This window comes from Homo sapiens, chromosome 3, assembly GCF_000001405.40.
Source record: "Homo sapiens chromosome 3, GRCh38.p14 Primary Assembly".
Classification (NCBI taxonomy): domain Eukaryota; kingdom Metazoa; phylum Chordata; class Mammalia; order Primates; family Hominidae; genus Homo; species Homo sapiens.
In genome coordinates this window covers 136,557,464-136,576,691 of record NC_000003.12, presented here as the reverse complement: position 1 = coordinate 136,576,691, position 19,228 = coordinate 136,557,464, and the positions used below count along the sequence as shown (strand labels likewise).

The following is a 19,228-nucleotide window of genomic DNA, read 5'->3' as shown; positions in this document are numbered from 1 at the left end:
AACTCATCTTTAACCACCATATTGACTGCTCTTTTCCATATATTTATATTTCCTCTTTGTAGCCTTGATGTTTTTTATTCTTCTCAATTTAAAAAATGTTATTTTTTAACTACCTCATATTCCTTATGGAACAAGACAGAATATTAATTTTTATACTGCCTTCTAGTACAATATGATAAAATCATAATTATAGCAAATGTCATCATTTTTTGTCATATGAATGTAATCTATGATTCAGATGCTGCTTGTTATAGCTTTCTCATTGAGGATCTATGGCTCAGGTCTCGAGGTTTTCTTTGTATCCAAGTCTTAAACTGGAATCAATTGAGGACATTCAAGCCTATTAGTGTCACAAGTTGAATTTTTCCATACCTTTTCCCATGCTTATATGTATGTGTGTGTGAGAGAGAAAAAGAGAGATTTATTTATTTAAAAAATAGAATCATACTCATTTCTTTGTGCATTTGATGTCAGAAGCAACTGTTTCTGTCATTAGTGCTAACATAGATTCAGCTCATTTGTATTACTAGTTACATTTCATTCTACTGTATGGATATACTATCATTTAGTGAAACGTTCCTTTATAGACATTAAAATTGTTTCGTGGGGTTTTTAAAATAGTAAATAGTAGTATAATACCTATATCCATGCAAATAAATATTTTCTCTAAGTGGGAGGAAGGCAGCATATAAATATTAGTAGGCAGAGGGGCAGTTTTTGGCAGAGGTGACTTGCTATCTACCAAAAGTTATTTTTCCTTTTTCATAGTGAAGAACGTTCAAGGAGGCCGCTGGCAAACAGAGACTCCATTTCTCTACTTCCATTGCATTCATATATGGCTAGCTAACAAGTTCTTGCCTGTGAAGTATTAATATTAGCTGAAATGATATGCACAACTTCCAAACATGACTTACAAAAATTTCCCATGAAATGCTGTCTTATTACTGATATTCATGGTTGACCTTGGAAGCTGCTTGTTAAGGATACAAGATCCTATGTCACCTTAGGTCCCAGAATGATTGTGTGTCTATAATCTGTGATTCAGATGTTCTAAAGCTATAGCCTTCTCTTTGGGTCTGTGGCTGTGTTATCAGAAATAGCCTTTCTGTTAATTTTCTGTTGGAATTATATTGCATACTTTTCCTTATCCTCCAGATAGAGACAATCCACATTGGAATATTCTGTTTATTAAGGTAGAAGCCACTTTGGTAGGCCAAGGTGGGAGGATTTCTTGAGCCCAGATGTTCGAGACCAGCCTAGGCAAAATGGCGAAATCCCGTCTCTACCAAAAATACAAAAATTAACCAGGCACAGTGGCATATGCCTCTGTTCCCAGCTACTTGAGAGGCTGAGGTGGAAGGATAGCTTGAGCCTGGGAGATTTAGGCTACAATGAGCCGTGGTCATGCCACTGGACCCTAGCCTGGGTGAAAGAGTGAGACCCTGTCTCAGAGAAAAAAGAAAAACCCACTACCAAAAAGGTAGATTCTTAGGTCATTGATTTAAACCCTTCTTTATATAAACTGTAACTTAGCTATAAATTATAAATATTTAAAGCTCTAAATTTTCTTGTAAACACTACTGTAGGTGGATTCAACAGTTTTTGAGATGTTTTTATTCAGTTTTTTAAAATTTTCTCATTACCAAACATTTGGGGACATTTTAGGTATATTTTTGTTACTGATTTTTAAATCAGATTTAAACAGATTTTTAAATCTGTTATTGCAAGAGAGCTTGCTCTGTATTATTTCAGTGTTTAAAAACTTACAGAGGTTTGATTTATGATTTATTTTGGTGAATATTCTTGTTTGTACTTGAAAAGAATGTGTATTCTGTAATTGTTGGTGTTAAGTTTTATGTATTAGTTAGATCACATTAGTAATTTTATCCCTATCTTCTATACACTCATTAATTTTTTTGTTTGCTTCTTCTATCAGTTACCAAAAGATGTGTGTTAAAAATTTCAGCCATGGCTATGAATTTGCCTCTTTTAGTTCAATCTTTGCTTTATGTATTTTGAGACTCCTGTTATTTGGTGTTAAAATTTAATGTTGTTATAGCTTCCTAATGAATTTACTGTTTTATTATTATAAAATATTTCTCTTTATGTTTGGTAGCATTCCTTGTCTTGATTTCTACTTTGACATGAATATAACCACAACATGTTTCTTACGGTTAATGTTTGCATGGTGTGTGTATATGTGTGTATATGTATATATGTGTGTGTATGTATGTGTATATACACACATACACCATGCAAACATAAACCATAAGAAACCTGTTATTGTTATAGTTACATCAAAGTAGAAATCAAGACAAGGATGTGCGTGTGTGTGTGTGTGTGTGTGTATACACACACACATACATATATATCCTTTATTGTGGCCTATCTGCTCTTATATTAAAAGTGTGTCTCTTGTAAATATTATGTGGTCGGGTTTTTTTTTTGGGGGGACAGAGTTTCGCTCATGTCACCCGGGCTGGAGTGCAGCGGCACCATCTCGGCTCACTGCAACCTCCACCTCCCGGGTTCAACCAATTCTCCTGCCTCAGCCTCCCGAGTAGCTGGGACTATAGGCGCGTGCCACCATGCCCACCTAATTTTTGGTATTTTTAGTAGAATGGGATTTCACCGTGTTAGCCAGGATGGTCTCGATCTCCTGCCCTGTTGATCCGCCTGCCTCGGCTCCCAGAGTGCTGAGATTACAGGTGTGAGCCACTGCACCCAGCGTCTCACTCTGGGGCCAAGGCTGGAGTGCAGTGGCGCGATCTCCGCTCACTGCAAACTCCGCCTCCCAGGTTCTCGCCATTCTCCTGCCTCAGCCTCCTGATTAGCTGGGATTACAGGCACCCACCACCACGCCCCGCTAATTTTTTGTATTTTAATAGAGATGGGGTTTCACCATGTTAGCCAGGATGGTCTCCATCTCCTGACCTCGTGATCCGCCCGCTTCGGCCTCCCAAAGTGCTGGGATTACAGACATGAGCCACCATGCCCGGCCAGTTGGGTCTTTTTATCCAGCTTGGACAATCTGTCTTTCATGAGGTTGGTTTTTTTTTTATTTTTTGTTTTAGTTTTTTAGTCTCAAAATATTTTATTTGCCTTTATTTGAAATATTTTTTTTGGCCAGTTAAAAAATTCAGAATGGACTTTTTCATCTTTCTTCAGGACATTAAATATGTTACTGTATTATCCATGGGTTTGCATTGTTTTTGATGGGAAGTGTGTCATTATTCTATCCTTTGCTTCCCTATGTGTGTACCCTTTGGTTGCTTGAATTTTCTTTTTGAAAATTTTCAGCACAATTTGATTATATGCCATATGTGATTTCTAAAACAAATTCTTAACTTAGTCATGGTCCCCTGTATTTATGACAGGCTGCATTATCCACCCACCTATGCCCATACTTGGCAATGCTTCTAACAGTTGCCATTCTCTGCCAACTCAAGAAAGGCTCATACATGACTCCTTGAAGTTTAATTCTTTTTTTTTTTTTTAATCCTTTTCTTTTTTAAAGATAAGGTCTTGCTCTGTCACCCAGGCTGGAATGCAGTTGAAGATCACAGTTCATTGCAACCTTAAACTCCTGGACTCAAGTGACCCTCCCACCTCAGACTACTGAGTAGCTGGGATTATAGGCATGTGCCACTGTGCCCAACTAATTATTTTAAAATGTTTTGTAGAGTGAGGGTATCACTGTGTTGCCTAGGCTGCTCTCGAACTCCTGGCCTCAAGTGGTCCTTCCGCATTGGCCTCCAAAGCTCTGAGATTACAAGTGTGAGCCATTGCACCTGGCCTGGAGTTTAGTTCTTTAAATTCATTTATCTTCATATCTTTATGAAAGCTTATAAAAGGTACAACTTTGTTTACTTCTGGATGAATAACCAATATATCAGGGTCAGTATCATTTATTATATAAATAATTTTCCCCTCTAAAATTGAAACGTCTCCTTTGTCATAGTGGAAGTTATATATATCTGGATCTATTTCTTCTGCATTTATTTTTTCCCTTAATGCAAAGGGCTATTATTTATTTTTATTTCTGTACTTTGTTCTCTTACTTGCTTACTTTTTTTTTTTTTTTTTTTTTGAGACAGTCTTGCTCTGTCACCCAGGCTGCAGTGCAGTGGCACGCTCACAGCTCACTGCAGCTTCCTCCTCAACCTCCACCTCCTGGGCTTAAGTGATCTCTCACCTCAGCCTCCCAAGTAGCTGGGACCACAGGTGTGCACCACCACACCTGACTAATTCGTGGATTTTTGGTAGAGGCGGGTTTTGCTACATTGCCCAGGCTGGTCTCAAACTCCTGAGCTCAGGAGATCTGCCTGCCTCAGCCTATGAAAGTGCAGGGTTTACAGGAATGGGCCACAGTGCCTGGCCTTGTTTACTATTTTACTATTTCTGATTGTTTTTCAGTTCCTTCGTAGTATGTTTTAATGTTTATTTTATTGTATTCATTTTATTTTTATTTATTTAATTGAAACAGTCTTGCTCTGTTTCCTAGGCTGGAGTGCAGTGGCACCATCTTGGCTCACTGCAACCTCTGCCTCCCAGGTTCAAGTGATTCTTGTGCCTCAGCCTCCTAAGTAACTGGGATTACAGGCATGTGCCACCATGCCTGGCTCTTTTTTGTTTTTTCTTTTTCTTTTCTGTCTTTTTGTTGGTATTTTTAGCATAGATAGGGTTTTACCATGTTGGCCAGGCTGGTCTGGAACTCCTGACCTCAAGTGAGCCACCCATCTCGGCCTCCCAAAGTGTTGGGATTACAGGCGTGAGCCACCGTGCCCAGCCTTATTTATTCATTTTAGAGACAGGGTTTCACTCTGTTGCGCAGGCTAGAGAGAGTGTGTTAGCATGGTAATAGTTCACTGTAGCCTCAAACTCCTGGGCTCAAGTGATCCTCCTGCCTCAGCTTTCCAAGTGGCTGGGACTGTGGTCACGTGCCACCATTCCTCACTAATATTTTTTTGTTTTGTTTTTTGGTAGAGATGAGGGTCTTTGTATGTTGCCCAGGCTGGTCTTGAACTCCTGGCCTCAAGTCATCCTCCTGCCTTGGCCTCCCAGGAGTTGTTGGAATTACAGGTGCAAGTCACTGTGCCTGGCCCCAAGTTTTTGTTTGTATTTTGACAGGGTCTCGCCCTGTCACTCAGACTGGTGTGCAGTGGTGCGATCTTTGCTCACTGCAGCCTTGACCTTACAGGCTCAAGTGATCCTCTTATCTCAGCCTCCCAAGTAAGCTGGGACTACAGGCATGCACCACCACTCTAGCTAATTTTTGTAATTTTTGTAGAGACAGGGTTTCGTCATGCTGCTCAGGCTTGTCTCAAACTCCTGTGCTCAAGTCGTCTGCCCACCTTGGTCTCCCAAAGTGCTGAGATTTCAGGTGTGCGCCACCACGCTCAGACCAAAGTGTTAATATTTCTGATGCAGGTTCCTGTGCACCAGTCTTAGAATGTTTTGAGCTCTTCATATGTAACTGGTGGGAGTATAAATTGGTACAATCACTTTGGGAATTAAAATTCTACTCAGACTGCCTTTATATTACTGGACCCCTGTAAAAGTGAGGAAGTGACTTCTTCAGTTTTATGCCACACTTTGTTACCTAGGTTGCAAAGCATTTCTGCTTCAGTCCTGAGTCTAAAAGTTGCTCTTAATCTGCTCTATTAACTTCTAGTTTTCACCATCATCCTGAGCTTGCAGAGCCTGACACATTATTCAGCAGAGGTGAACCTTGCCCAGATACCATGGTATTCTTTTCTTCTTGACCCTCTCTTACCACCATAATCTTCTTTCTAGTTTTCTCTTTACTTTAAAAACAAAACCCCCCAGACACTAATGTGATGAGACAGTGAAACAGTATTATGTATAGAAAGTCTTCTCTTTCACTTGGAGGAAGGGAAAGTGGTTCTTCCCAATGGAAGGTCATTGAAGAAGGGATATGCTTAATCAGCATGGGCTAAATTAAAATAACTGACAGTACCTAGTCTTGGGTGAGGATGTAGAGCATCTGAAAATCTCACATCTTGCTGGATGTCATACATTGCTGGTGGAAGTGTGATTTATTACAACTTGTTATGAGAAATTGTTTGGCATTATCTACTAAGCCTTGATGCGTGTGTGTAACGTGTGTTAACAGATCTGCTCTTGGTTCTGTAATACAGAAAAGAATGTTTACATTCATCAAATGTGTGTACATAACAGTTTTATTTGTGATAGCCCTAAACTGCAAAGAGTACTCATATTCCTCAACAGTAAAATGGGTGATAGATTGTGGTATATTCATACAATGAAATAATATTCAGCAATGTAAAAAAGGCATTACTAATACACATAACAATGCTGCTGAATCTTACCAATACAACTTTGCTTGAAAGAAATAAAAAAAGATGATATCATTTATATGAGTTTCAATATCATGTCAAACTAATTCATGGTAATATGCATCAGTATAATAATTACCCTTTGTGCTGGGGATGGTTACTGACTGGAAAGCAACATAAGGGAGCCTGTTTTAGTTGTGGAAATGTTTTATATCTTCATCTTGGTTGTGGTTACACAGGTGTATGTATTTATAAAAATTAAGGTATAACAGGATTAATGCATTTTACTGTATATAAATATACCTTAGTACACAAAATTTTATTTTTTTAAAATTTACATTTTTATACATTTCCTCTGATCCCTACCTCTGCCCAAGAAAATCTCAAACAATCCTGCCCACTGGAATGCAAACTGGAATTACATTAAATTTGCCTTGTAAGTTGGCAAGACTCTCAGACTTTATTGATACAACACTAAATCTTTTTTTAAATTCAGAATATGATACTTGTTGAAGTCTTTTTTTAATATCCTGTAAGTTTTAATAATTTTCCTTATTAAAAATTCTCTTAGATTTATTCTTAGGTATTTTTCGTTGTGAACAAGCTACTAATCCATTTATATTTTCTAGTTATTGCACTATTAAGTTATTTTGTATATTTATCTTGTCAGCTACCTTGTCAAATTTTCCTATTATTAATCTCTTGAATCACTTTAATAGAGACTCCTGGGTTTTCTTATCAACTGTAGGAAAGGAGAATTGTCTTTACTAAATTTTGCTAACTTTTGCATTAACTAAAGACTTCAACCCTGGGTTGAATGGTTAGAGGGGCATCCTTGCCTTGTTCTTTAATTAGTTGAAATATCTTAAGTATTTCAACAACAAATATATTTTAGTCTTTTTATCCTTTAAGTAGATTTTATTGAACCCTAATTTTCCTAGAAAGTTTTTTTTTTTTTTTGGATTGGCTACAGAATTTTATCAGATACGTTTTTGAGATCTGATTTGATATATAATTGTTTTATTTTTCTTTTTCACTTTGTTGATAAATTCAGTTATTTGATTTCTTAATATTAAGCCATTCTTGTACTCTTGAAAAAATGCCTCTTATTATTTGCATTCTTTTTATGCACTACTGGTGGATTATGCTTTCTGATAACTCAGAAAGTTTGTATCTGTGTAAAAGTGAAGTTAATTTTTATCATTTTCTTAATATGGTTTGAATATTATCTATACTTGCTTAATAATTATTGGACTTAATGGGATTGGTAAGGTCCGATTTGTTTTGGATTCTATTGTAAACAAATCTTTGAAACCTAGTAAGTCACTTTTTATTGGCCTTTAAAAATAAGGGAGTCTCTACTTTTATTAGGCTACAGAGAAATAATTTCAGGTAAGTAATTTTCTCGTTCAGATAGAAACACACACAAACACACAAACTTTTTTGAAAATTTATTTGCTATAATATCAAATTTTTTTGAAGTTTTCATTTTTATATTTTTTTTCCACAGTCCGTGGTGGATGACTGGATTGAATCATATAAACAAGACAGGGACATCGCACTTCTGGATTTAATCAACTTTTTTATCCAGTGTTCAGGATGTCGAGGTACAGAATGTTGAAATAAATGATGTACATTGAGCCTGTCAGTCCAGCAGTGTGACTTTTACTTCACCTGCCACTAGTCGTATATAATTTACCCTAAAATTAAAGATTATCTGCTAATCTTTTTCTGATAGAGAATATTATTGGTAAGTTATATAAGGATATTCCATTTTTGTTCTTGTTCAGTTTTGCTCCTATAAAGTAATACATTTATATAGTTTTTGAAATTTTGGGAGGAAATCTGAAATTCGTTCAGTAGTTTCATGAATTGATTTTTTAGATCATAGGCTTTTATAATTTTTACTCATATTATTTGTATGTATGCTCCATATTGGGAAGTGTGCTAGTTGCTAGCATTCATTCTTTTATATCCCTGCCAGTATTTCGTACTCATTTTATAGTTAAGTTTAAATACTTTTCTTAAAGTAACACAAGTAGCAGAATCAGGTGTCTTAAGTTTACAACTGTAAGACAGTTTGTTAAAGTGTAATTTTATTTTTATCATTTTAGGAGATAACTGCTAGATCTTTTTCTTCTCTAGATAAATCTTAACAGGTTAATTTGTATTACATGGGGGGAAGTGAGTTGTTAAATCACCATTCTCTGCTTGTGAATACAGAAGAATAGTAATCTTTAATTGAGATAACTGACCAAATTGATTTCTTGAAGGCTTGTTTATTTATGTACAAGTTATCACTTACCATATTGACATGAGTAGTTTATCAAATATTTACAGAGCACCACCCTTATACGAGATACTCCACCAGGGTATACAGAAGTTATCAAGGCAGTCTCTGCCGTAAAAAGTGTTAAAGTATGTGTAATTTTTAAAGGCATCTTCATTGTGAGTAAGAAAGAGGGGAAATACATTAATAGTTCAGCAAAGGGCTTGGTGCCATGATAAGTATAATAAAACTGGTTACTATTTAATGACTGTTTAGTATGTGGCAAGCTGTGTGCTTTACATACATTAGCTCATTTAATCTTTGTTAACAGTCCCATCAGGCAGATCTGATCTTTATCTTGTACATTGCAAACTGAGATGAAAGGGTTTAGGTAAATTTATTCCAGATCATACAGTTAGCAAGTGTGAAACTCAAGATTGAGAGTCAAGCTGTGTCACCTGGAGTGTGTGTCCCCAGCCACAAGACACTGTGGGAATAACAAGAAAGCAAGGGATGCTGATGCAGCCCAGGCTGTGTGTCTCTGTATATATGTGTGAATGTGGGGAGGTTGTAAAAAAGTATATCCTACAAAAAATAAACTCTGATGTGAGATTAAAGATGAGTAAAAGGAAGTTAGAAGGATGAGAAAGGCAAAAGGTAACATATTATGCAAAAAGACCTTAAGACAAGAAAGCATGGTTCAGTCCGGGACGTAGAGGATTCTGTGGCTGAATTGTAGAGCATGGAGATGAGTGAGGATTGGCAAGAGATTAGACTATTTGAAAGTAAGAGAGTTTGCTCATTTTGCAGCCTTAAAGTAGGTGAGGCAAGCACTGATGATGTGCTTTATATAAATTTTCTCATATAGTCCTATTAATCAACAGACCTGTTGGATTGGGTTTTAATTTGAAAGCAATTAGTAGTGTTTAAAATTTTTCCTTTTGAAATTTATTTTCATGGTTCAAAATAAAAAAGTTTAAAAGTTGTATAATAAGAAGTCTTTGCCTTTCTGTCTTCCCATCCATCTACACATAGTTAACTGCTCTTAACTAGTTTGTTGAACTTAACTGTCTGTCCATCTATCTAATTTTCATACCTATAGGGTAGGAATGTATATTCTTTCCTTCTCCACCTCACCTGTCGTACACAAAAGATAATAGTGTATAGAGACCTTTCTCCTTCATTTTTAAAAACACAGGCTCATTGCATTCCTTTGTGTATATGTACAATAATTTATTTAACTAGACTTCTATTAAAAGACCAGTGTGTTATTTGTAGTCTTTTGCTGTTACAGAGAGTACTGTAATGAGTAATTTTATGTATACCTTATTTGGTCTTTATAAAGAATGTCTGTAGGTAAATGCATTTGTTATTATATTAGATACTGCCAAATCGTCAGCTATAGGAATTGTACTCTTCTATACTCTCATCAGTGATATATTAAAATGTCTTTTTTTTCTTAGCCTTTTCAACAAAGTGTATTAAGATTTTGGATTAGTCTTCAGAATGATTTGAAGATAATATTTCAGTCTGATTTTTAAAAGTGCTTTGAAGTTCACGTAATATACAAGTAAGCATTTTAAAGTGTACCAATTCAGTAGCATTTAGGGCATTCATAAATGTGCAGCTGCCTTACTTTGGGTTGCTGTAACAATACCATAGACTGGGTGGCTTACAAATAATAGAAATTTATTTCTCACAAGTCTGGAGGCTGGAAGTCTGAGATCAGGGTCTCAATATCGTCTGGTTCTTGTGAGGGCCCTCTTCCACATTGCAGAATACTAACTTCTAGTTGTACCCTTACATGGCAAAAAGAGGGTTGAGAGCGTTTTCTGGAGTCCCCTTTATAACGGCACTAATCTCATTCATGAGGGTCCCACTCATCACCTAATTGCATCCCAAAGGTCCCACCTTCTAATACCATCACTTTGGGGGTTAGGATTTTAATATAGGAATTTTGGGAGGACACAAACATTCAATCCATTGTAGCAGTTACCACCTCTCTCTTTTCTCAAAACTTTAAAAATCTCCCCAGGAAAATACCCTATACCTGTTAGGTAATCACTATTTGTTCTTTTCTCCCCCATCACTGGCAATCATGAATCTACTTTCTGTCCCTGAGGATTTGCCAGTCCTGGTCATCTTATATAAAAGGAACCACACCATATGTCACCTTCTGTGTGTGACTTCTTTCACTTACCATGTTTTTGAGGTTCATTTAAGTTGTAGCATGCATCAGTAGTTCATTTCGTTTAGGGCTGAATAATAATCCATCGTATGTATATATCACTGTTTGTTTATCCATTCATCTGTTGAAGGACATTTGAGTTGTTTCCACCTTTTGACTATTGTGAATATGGCAACTTTGAACATTCGTGAACAAATACTTGTTTGAGTGCCGTTTTTGAGTCTTTGAGGTGTAAATTCTTAGGAGTAGAATTGCTAGGTCGTATAATAATTCCATTTAAACTTTTTGAGGAACCACCAAACTGTTTTCCACAGTGGCTGCACCATCTTATATTCCCACCAGAAATGTATGAGGATTCCTATTTTTCTACATCCTCAACAACACTTGTTATTTTATAGTTTTAAAAATTATAGCCATCCTACTGGGTATAAAGTGGTATCTAACTGTGGTTTTAATTTGTGTGCACTTAATGCCTAATGATCTTGAACTTCTTTTCATGTGCTTGTTGGACATGTCTGTATTTTCTTTGAAGAAATATACATTCAAGTCCTTTGCTCATTTTAAAATTAGATTATGTGTCTTTTTGTTGATGAGTTGTATATATTGTGGATACCAAACCTTTATCAAGTATTTAACTTCAGCTATTTTTGTCCGCTCTCTAGGTTGTCTTTTTAACTTTCTTAATGATGTTTTTTGGTGCACAATAGGTTTACATTTTATTAAGTCTGATTTCTCTTCCTTTCCTTTCCTTTCCCTTTCCCTTCTCTTTCCTTTCTCTTCCCTTTCTCTTTCCTTTCTTTCTCTCTCTTTCTCTTTCCTTTCCTCCCTCCCTCCCTCCCTCCCTCCCTCCCTCCCTCCCTCCCTCCCTCCCTTCTGCCTGCCTGCCTGCCTGCCTGCCTGCCTTCCTTCCTTCCTTCCTTCCTTCCTTCCTTCCTTCCTTCCTTCCTTCCTCATACACATGTCAAATTTAAGGATCCATTGCCAAATTCAAGGTCATGAAGATTTACCTCTATGTTTCCTTCTAATGGCGATTGCTCACAAATCTGGAGGCTGGATTTTATATTTTATATTTAGGCTGTTAATCCATGGTTAATTTTTGTGTATGGGTTGGTTTTAATTTGTATTTCTCTAATGAATGAGGGTTGAGAACCATTACTGTTTTTTCTTTGAATTCTTTGTTCCTATCCTTTGCCCATTTTTCTTTTGACTACCTTTACAGTTCCTGAAAAGACATTTGACAAAATGGGTCTTAAAACATTTTTGTTGAAGGGGCATAGAAGCATATTTTCTTAATATGATTTATAAAGAAAGCACACTGTCTTTTACATCAGTAGAATATAATAAAAATCCTGACATAGACCTAAGTACCTATGAGACATTAGTAAACATATCTTAGAACATATGAAAAGAAAACATTTTTTACTTATTACAAAAGGGATTTACTAATTAAAACTATACTTAGTTACCATTTCTTTTTACCTATCAGATTGGCACAAGTTTAAAATCATAACAACATTCTGTTGTTCAGGCTGTGGCGGGGGAAAGCAGACACTGTTACATTGTTGGTTAGAATACAAATTGATAAACTCTTTTGTAAAGGTATCCAGGAATATCTACCAAATCTATATTTATGTCTTATCTGTTGACTCAACCATCCTACTTCTGGGATTTTACCTTGAATATATACCTTCAGCAGTAAGAAAATAGGTACACAAAATTAATGCAACATTATTTGTTACTGGAAAATATTGGAAACAATCCAAATGTTCATATATAAGACAGTGATTGAATGAACTATAGGATAGCCACATGTTGGAGTTTTGTGCTACTGTAAAAAAGAATGAGGAAGATGTCTGTGAATGGAAGTAGGGATTTTCCCTGTATTTTTTTTTTCGAGACAGTCTTATTCTGTCACCCAGGCTGGAGTGCGGTGGTGCGATCTCGGCTCACTGCAACCTCCGCCGCCTGGGTTCAAGCAGTTCTCCTGCCTCAGCCTCCCGAGTAGCTGGGATTACAGACACGCACCACCATGCCCAGCTAAAGTTTTTTTGTATTTTTAGTAGAGATGGGGTTTCACCGTGTTGATCAGGCTGGTCTTGAACTCCTGACCTCATGATCCACCCGCCTTGGCCTCCTAAAGTGCTGGGATTACAGGCATGAGCCACCGTGCCCGGCCTTTCTCTGGATATGTTTTTAGGGCAAAATACAAATTGCAGAATAATATCTACAGTATGCAACTTTGTTGTTGTTGTTTTTTTTTTTTTTTTGTAAGAAAGAAGGGAATATAAGGGTTCATTTCACCAAAAAGAAATACAGGAAAGAAAAACCTGACGGTAACGAGATTGGTTACCTAAAGAGCGAGAGAGAGAGAGAGAGAGTTTGTGCGTGCGTGCGTGTGTGTGTGTCGGAAAGTTTAGAGGGAATTGAGGTGAGGGAATGATACTGAATTTGAATATAGTTTTATAGTTTTTGAATAGTCCTGACTTTTGGAGCTATCTTAATATTTCAAATCCCCAAGAAAACAAAATCAACAAAGATGGAGGGAGAATATCCTAAAAATGAATACAAACAGAACAAATAACCTTTACACCATAATAACAACCACACTGAAAGGTGTAAAATTACTAACCAACGTAACTTGGGAACTCAGTAAGTGGGCTGTGAAACTAGTGGGGTCGGGGAGAAGTTTGATGAAGAGCACAATATTTACCCAGTCTCAAAATGTCTCCTTTCAAGATATCTACTATTTACAGGGTAAAATAGAAACTTTGCAATGTAGAAACTTGATAGATAGCACCTTAACAAATGATAAAAGCAAACATTGCAAGTTACGGAGCTAATTGCTATCATGTGCTTTCTGATATGCCCTTAGAAGAACTCAACATCACTTCTGTGATATTCTTGCCAGAAGTGCATAGTCTGAATCTACTCATGAAGAAACATAAGACAAGCTTGAATTGAGTTATATTCTTCAAAACAACTATCCTGTACTCTGCAAAAAAGTCAGTGTCATGAAATAGTCAGAAATGCTGGGCGTCGTGACTCACACCTGTAATCCCAGCACTTTGGGAGGCTGAGGCGGGCAGATCACCTGAGGTCAGGAGTTCAAGACCAGCCTGGCCAGTGTAGTGAAACCCCATCTCTACTAAGAATACAAAAATTAGCTGGGCATGGTGATAGGCGCCTGCAATCCCAGCTACTTGGGAGGCTGAGGCAGGAGAATCACTTGAACCCAGGAGACAGAGGTTGCAATGAGCCAAGATCACACCATTGCACTCCTGCCTGGGCAACAGGAGCAAAACTCTGTCTCAAAAAAAGAAAAAAAGAAATGACTCAAACTGTTCTAGCTTAAAGTAGAGTAAAGAAACATGACAGGTGGCTGCAGTGCATGATCTTAGAATTTCTTTGGGCAGATTTCCTGAGGTCAGGAGTTCAAGACCAGCCTGGTCAATGTGGTGAAACCCCGTCTCTACTAAAAATACAAAAATTAGCCGGGCGTGGTGGTGGGTGCCCGTAATCCCAGCTGCTTGGGAGGCTGAGGCAGGAGAATCGCGTGAGCCCAGGAGGCGGAGGTTGCAGTGAGCTGAGATTACACCATTGCACTCCAGGCTGGGCAACAGGAGCGAAACTCTGTCTAAAAAAAAAAAAGAAAAAGAAATGACTCAGAAACTGTTTAAAGTAGACTGAAGAAATGTGACAGGTGGCTGCAGTGCATGATCTTAGAATTTCTTTTGGCATAAAGGACGTTATTGAGACACGTGAAATCTTAATTAGTTCTGTGGATTAGAACATACATGTAGTATCAATTGTTATATCTTATGCTTTGGAACATTGTACTATACTGTGGTTGTATAATAGGTTTATTTGGGGGAAATACACACTGAAATATTAAAGAGTAAAGGAATATCATGTCTGTAGCTAAACACTTATTCAGAACAAATGCATCTGTATATGAAGAGTGAAAGAAGGATAAAACGGATGTAAATGTTTACATCTGAAGAATTTGGGTGGAAGGTATTCAGAAGTTCTTTGTACTTTGCTGTCTTTTCTGTAAATCTAAAATTATGTCAAAGTACAAAAATGAAAAAAAAAAAAAATGTTTTAACCCCAAAGCCAGCGTCATGCTCAAGGGAAATCAGTAGTCATTGTCACTGTCAAGACAAGGATACCCAGCCTCACAATTCTTATTTAACATTATATTGGATATGCAAGCCAACACATTTGGACAATAAAAAGTAATTATGATCACTGTTTTTAAAATGATGTTATTCAAAATAATATAGCATGTTTAGAAAACTCAGGAGAATCAGTTTGCAAAACTATTATAAGCAATAAAATAATTCCATAATATATTGAGATACAGAATTTATAGAGAAAAATTACTATCCTACAGCCAGTTAGAAGATTTAAAGACCTCCTTTTCAAGACAAAAGTGAGGGGGAAAATTCTTTCAGATTTACATTTCACTGTGATGGTGTAAACCAGGATAAATTTCCAGTGCATCAAGAGTTTAAGGGCAAAAACAAACAACAAATACAAAGAAAAATAGTAAAAGCACTCAATGAAAACTAAGAATTCCTTTATAACCACGGAGTGGGGAAGACCTTTTTATTAACTGACTCACAATTAACTGACTCAAAATCTATAAGTTAGCAAAGACTCATAAATGACATAAGAAAACAAAAAATTTGTAAGATGGAGACACATTATAGGGAAAGTCAAACGACAAGGGACAAGTGGGGGAAATTTTTTTGTATTACAAAGGCTGCTATCTCTAATATATGTTGAGATAAGATTTGCATTTTATAAGGACTCCTTGTCTTGCACATTAATATCCAAAATCTAGATTGGCATTTTACTGTGTGAGCCCATTTTCCCCTAAAGCTGCGTAAGAACCAAGGACCAAAAGAGTGTTTTAAAAATTGACCTGAAGTGGGAAGAGAGCAAGGAAAGGCAGGAAAAAAAAAAATCACAATTCGCCCCGTCCCCACCCAAGTTCCCGGCTAGAAGTGGTATCACCAACAATGACAGAACAAAGTGAAACATCTTCTCATGAGTGAATAGTATGAACAACTCCTCCTTCATTGGCTCCAGTATCCCTATTATCACTATTTTCTCATCTTGGCTCTTGAGCCAAGCCCTAAGGTGCAGTATTGGTTTTCTAATTTAGCTATCTCAAGTTGCATTAGCACCCATAGTTGTTTTTCTAACTCTGCTGAAACGTCTGTAGTCTCTTCATTTGAACCAGCTGGAGTGAATTCTGTTTACCATTGGAAACCTCAGAATTGGCTAACTCAATATGTAGTAGTAATAGATATATTCAGTATCAATGAAGTGGGAAAAATGCAAAGGTAAAGTTGATTTAAACACTGTTGACTTAGAGTTGCATTCTAAAGCTATGTAAATTCATAAGTGTTTATTGGAATAAGTTATGAGAGAACTAAGAACACAGAATTATAGCATGTATTCAGGGAATTATGCATAGCAAAATGAAGATATGTTCTCCATATATTCAAAGTATACCTTGTTGATACACGTACATATTTACTTTGGTATGTACTTAAACATAACTAATTTCAGAAATATATGGTTTTTGATAAGTAGTTTTCATTGACAGATGTGCCTATTTTTAATAAGGGTTGTTGATCAAACTTGAAAGTTGGTGGTTAAAAGCAACCTTCTTTCTTAGTTGAATATAACAAGGAATGTTTCTATTTTGCTCTGTTTGTGCCTAACAGAGAAGTTCCGGATGCCTCAGGGCTTTCTAGGAGTGCAGAATTGCCAGAGAATTAATCACCTAGGAGCACTTAATCTAAGAGTTCCTGAACTTAACCCAGTTCGCTGGCTAATTAGCATCTCAGTGATTTTTTCATGGCACCTGTAAGCCAAAAGAAATACCTAACATTCTTTTCAGGAAGTTGTTATGTCCAAACTATTTATTTAGGTCCTCACAACTTAGTAGCCATTTAGAAAATGACATACATAATTGAAAAAAATTGTATTCATGTCTCAAATAACTGCAGTTACTTACTAATGTGTGTACAGATGTGTTGGGCATTGTATAGCTTCTCACATTTTGAAATTATCTTCATTTCCTGTTTTATATTGGTTTTTTGATAGCCCTTGTTGAAACTCAGCCTCTCAAAGATAGGGCATTATCAACAGGAATAAAGGACCAGATGTTGAGATTGCAAGTTGCCTCATGCTAATAGTTCCTGTGGTACTTGACAAATATCAAATATTGTATTGTTTTCCTTTGAATATTTAAAATATCCACATTACCCATATCATTTTGTGTGAGTCCCTCAGGACATCTCAGTGCACAGTTTGGGCACCATGGCTTTAACAAGTGACTGACCGGGAGTTAGTGTATAAATACCCCAATTCCTTTGCCTATCAGTGGGATCATTTTGAAGGGCATGGCCTACTCTGACTGCAGTTTCTCAAGGAGCTTAATTAGGCTCCAGTTACCTACAATTGTAATTGGCTAGATAACATACTCTTTATTGTCTGCTTTTTTTTAATTGTTATTTTTCTTTTTCTTGTTTCATGTCTCTACTGCATTACTGGTATTTTGTGGGTTGTCCTTCTAAATAAATTACTTGCACTGGCATCCTTGTTTTAGTATCTGCATCTGGGGGATAGAAACTAACAAGTGCTTATATGGCTTTATTATATATTAATCAGTATTCTCTTTAGCAATCTATTTTAATGAATTCTTATCTCCTCACCTGTACAGTGTGTACGTATATAGATAGATAGATAGATAGATAGATAGATAGATAGATAGGTAGTTCAGTGTTATCTTTCTTAAATCCTTTTAAATTGTGACATCTTATATATACAAAAGACTGAATATAAAGTGCCTTTGGCCTCTACCTGTTAGATGCCAGTAGCACATTTCTTTCTCCCTCTCCTCCAGTTGTAACAAGCAAAAATGTCTGCAAAAGTTTCCCAGTGTTCAATTTTGGGAAGCAAAATTACCCCATTTTGAGAACTACTGTAAAGTATACCTTATATGAATATACCAGTTAATTTATATTTCCCATTCTTGAAGGAAATTTTTGGGTAATGTAGACAGTGGTTACTAAAAGCTATCTTTTGCACATATTAATTTGGTATTCATGCACAAAATGCTCTAGTTTGCGTACTGAGGGGTGGAATTGCTGGGTTATAAGATATGCAACTTTTCTGGATGATGTCAAATTTCTCTGAAGTAGTTGTAACTTTTCATGCTTTAGTCAGGTGATGTCACAGAATTCTGATGGCTTCACATATTTTGCTCATAGATAGTATTGCCAGTATTTTTAGTTTTATGTTGTTGAGTAGGATTACAAATATCAGATTGTGGTTTTAATTTATATTTCTTTGAGTACTATTGAGATGGACTACTTTTTCACATAACAGTTAACCATGAGAATTTTCTCTTGCATGAACTGTGTAAAGTCTTCTACAAATTACTGTATTGCGATGTTACCTTTTGTCCTTTATTGTTTTGTAAGATTTTTATTTTATTTTATTTGAGACATAAGTTTTACTCTGTTTCCCAGGCTGGAGTGCAGCGGTGCAATCTTGGCTCACTGCAACCTCCACCTCCCAGGTTGAAGTGATTCTCCTGTTTCAGCCCCCCTAGTAGCTGGGATTACAGGCATGTGCCACCACGCCTGGCTAATTTTTGTATTTTTAGTAGAGATGGGGTTTCTCCCTGTTGGCCAGGCCGGTCTCAAACTCCCGACCTCAGGTGACCTGCCCACCTTGGGCTCTCAAAGTGCTGGGATTACAGGCATGAGCCACCGCACCTGGCCAAGATTTTTAAAAAAGTGTTAATACTAATCTCCTTTGTTATGTATATTGCAGCTTTCTTCTTCCATCTTGCAGCCTGCTTTTTCTCTTTTATTTTGATACATTATCCTTTGAAGGAAGGGATTTTTGTCTGTCTTTGTTCTCTTTGTATCTCTAGCACCTATAATTATTTATTGAAAGAATGAATGAACATGAGTTTTAAATTTTTAAGTGTAACCAAATTTATTTGTCTTTTCTTTTATGGGCTTTTTGTGTCATATTTAAGAAATTATTGACCAGGCCCTGTGGCTTTTGCCTGCAGTAATAGCACTTTGGGAGGCTGAGGCAGGCGGATCACTTGAGGTCAGGTGTTCAAGACTGGCCTGGCCAACATGGTGAAACACTGTTTCTACTAAAAATAAAAAAATTGGGCATGGTGGTGGGCACTTGTAATCCCAGCTACTCAGGAGGCTGAGGCAGGAGAATTGCTTGAACCTGGGAGGCGGAGGTTACGGTGAGCCGAGCTCACACCACTGCACCCCAGCCTGGGCAACAGAGTGTGACTCCATCTCAAAAAAATAAATAAGTGAAAATAAAAATTAAAAAATTATTTACACCGTGGTCATGAAGATACTCTCCTGTTTTCTTATAAAAGCTTTCTAGTTTATG

General features: G+C 36.8%; 1 protein-coding gene across 6 annotated transcripts in view; it reads left to right on the top strand.

The window, feature by feature from the left end:
• Nucleotides 1–19,228, top strand: part of STAG1 (STAG1 cohesin complex component) — a 416,143-nt gene that overhangs the window by 175,687 nt on the left and 221,228 nt on the right. For 5 of the 6 annotated variants that reach the window (XR_001739978.2, NM_005862.3, XM_047447229.1 and 2 more), the window contains one exon: nucleotides 7,831–7,927. The exons of the other annotated variant lie outside the window; for it this stretch is intronic. Coding sequence is in view for 3 of the 5 variants with exons in the window: in NM_005862.3 (NP_005853.2) it covers nucleotides 7,831–7,927 (97 nt within the window). In the remaining 2 variants the exon portion in view is untranslated. The remainder of the gene's footprint in view (nucleotides 1–7,830; nucleotides 7,928–19,228) is intronic. 6 annotated transcript variants of the gene reach the window in all.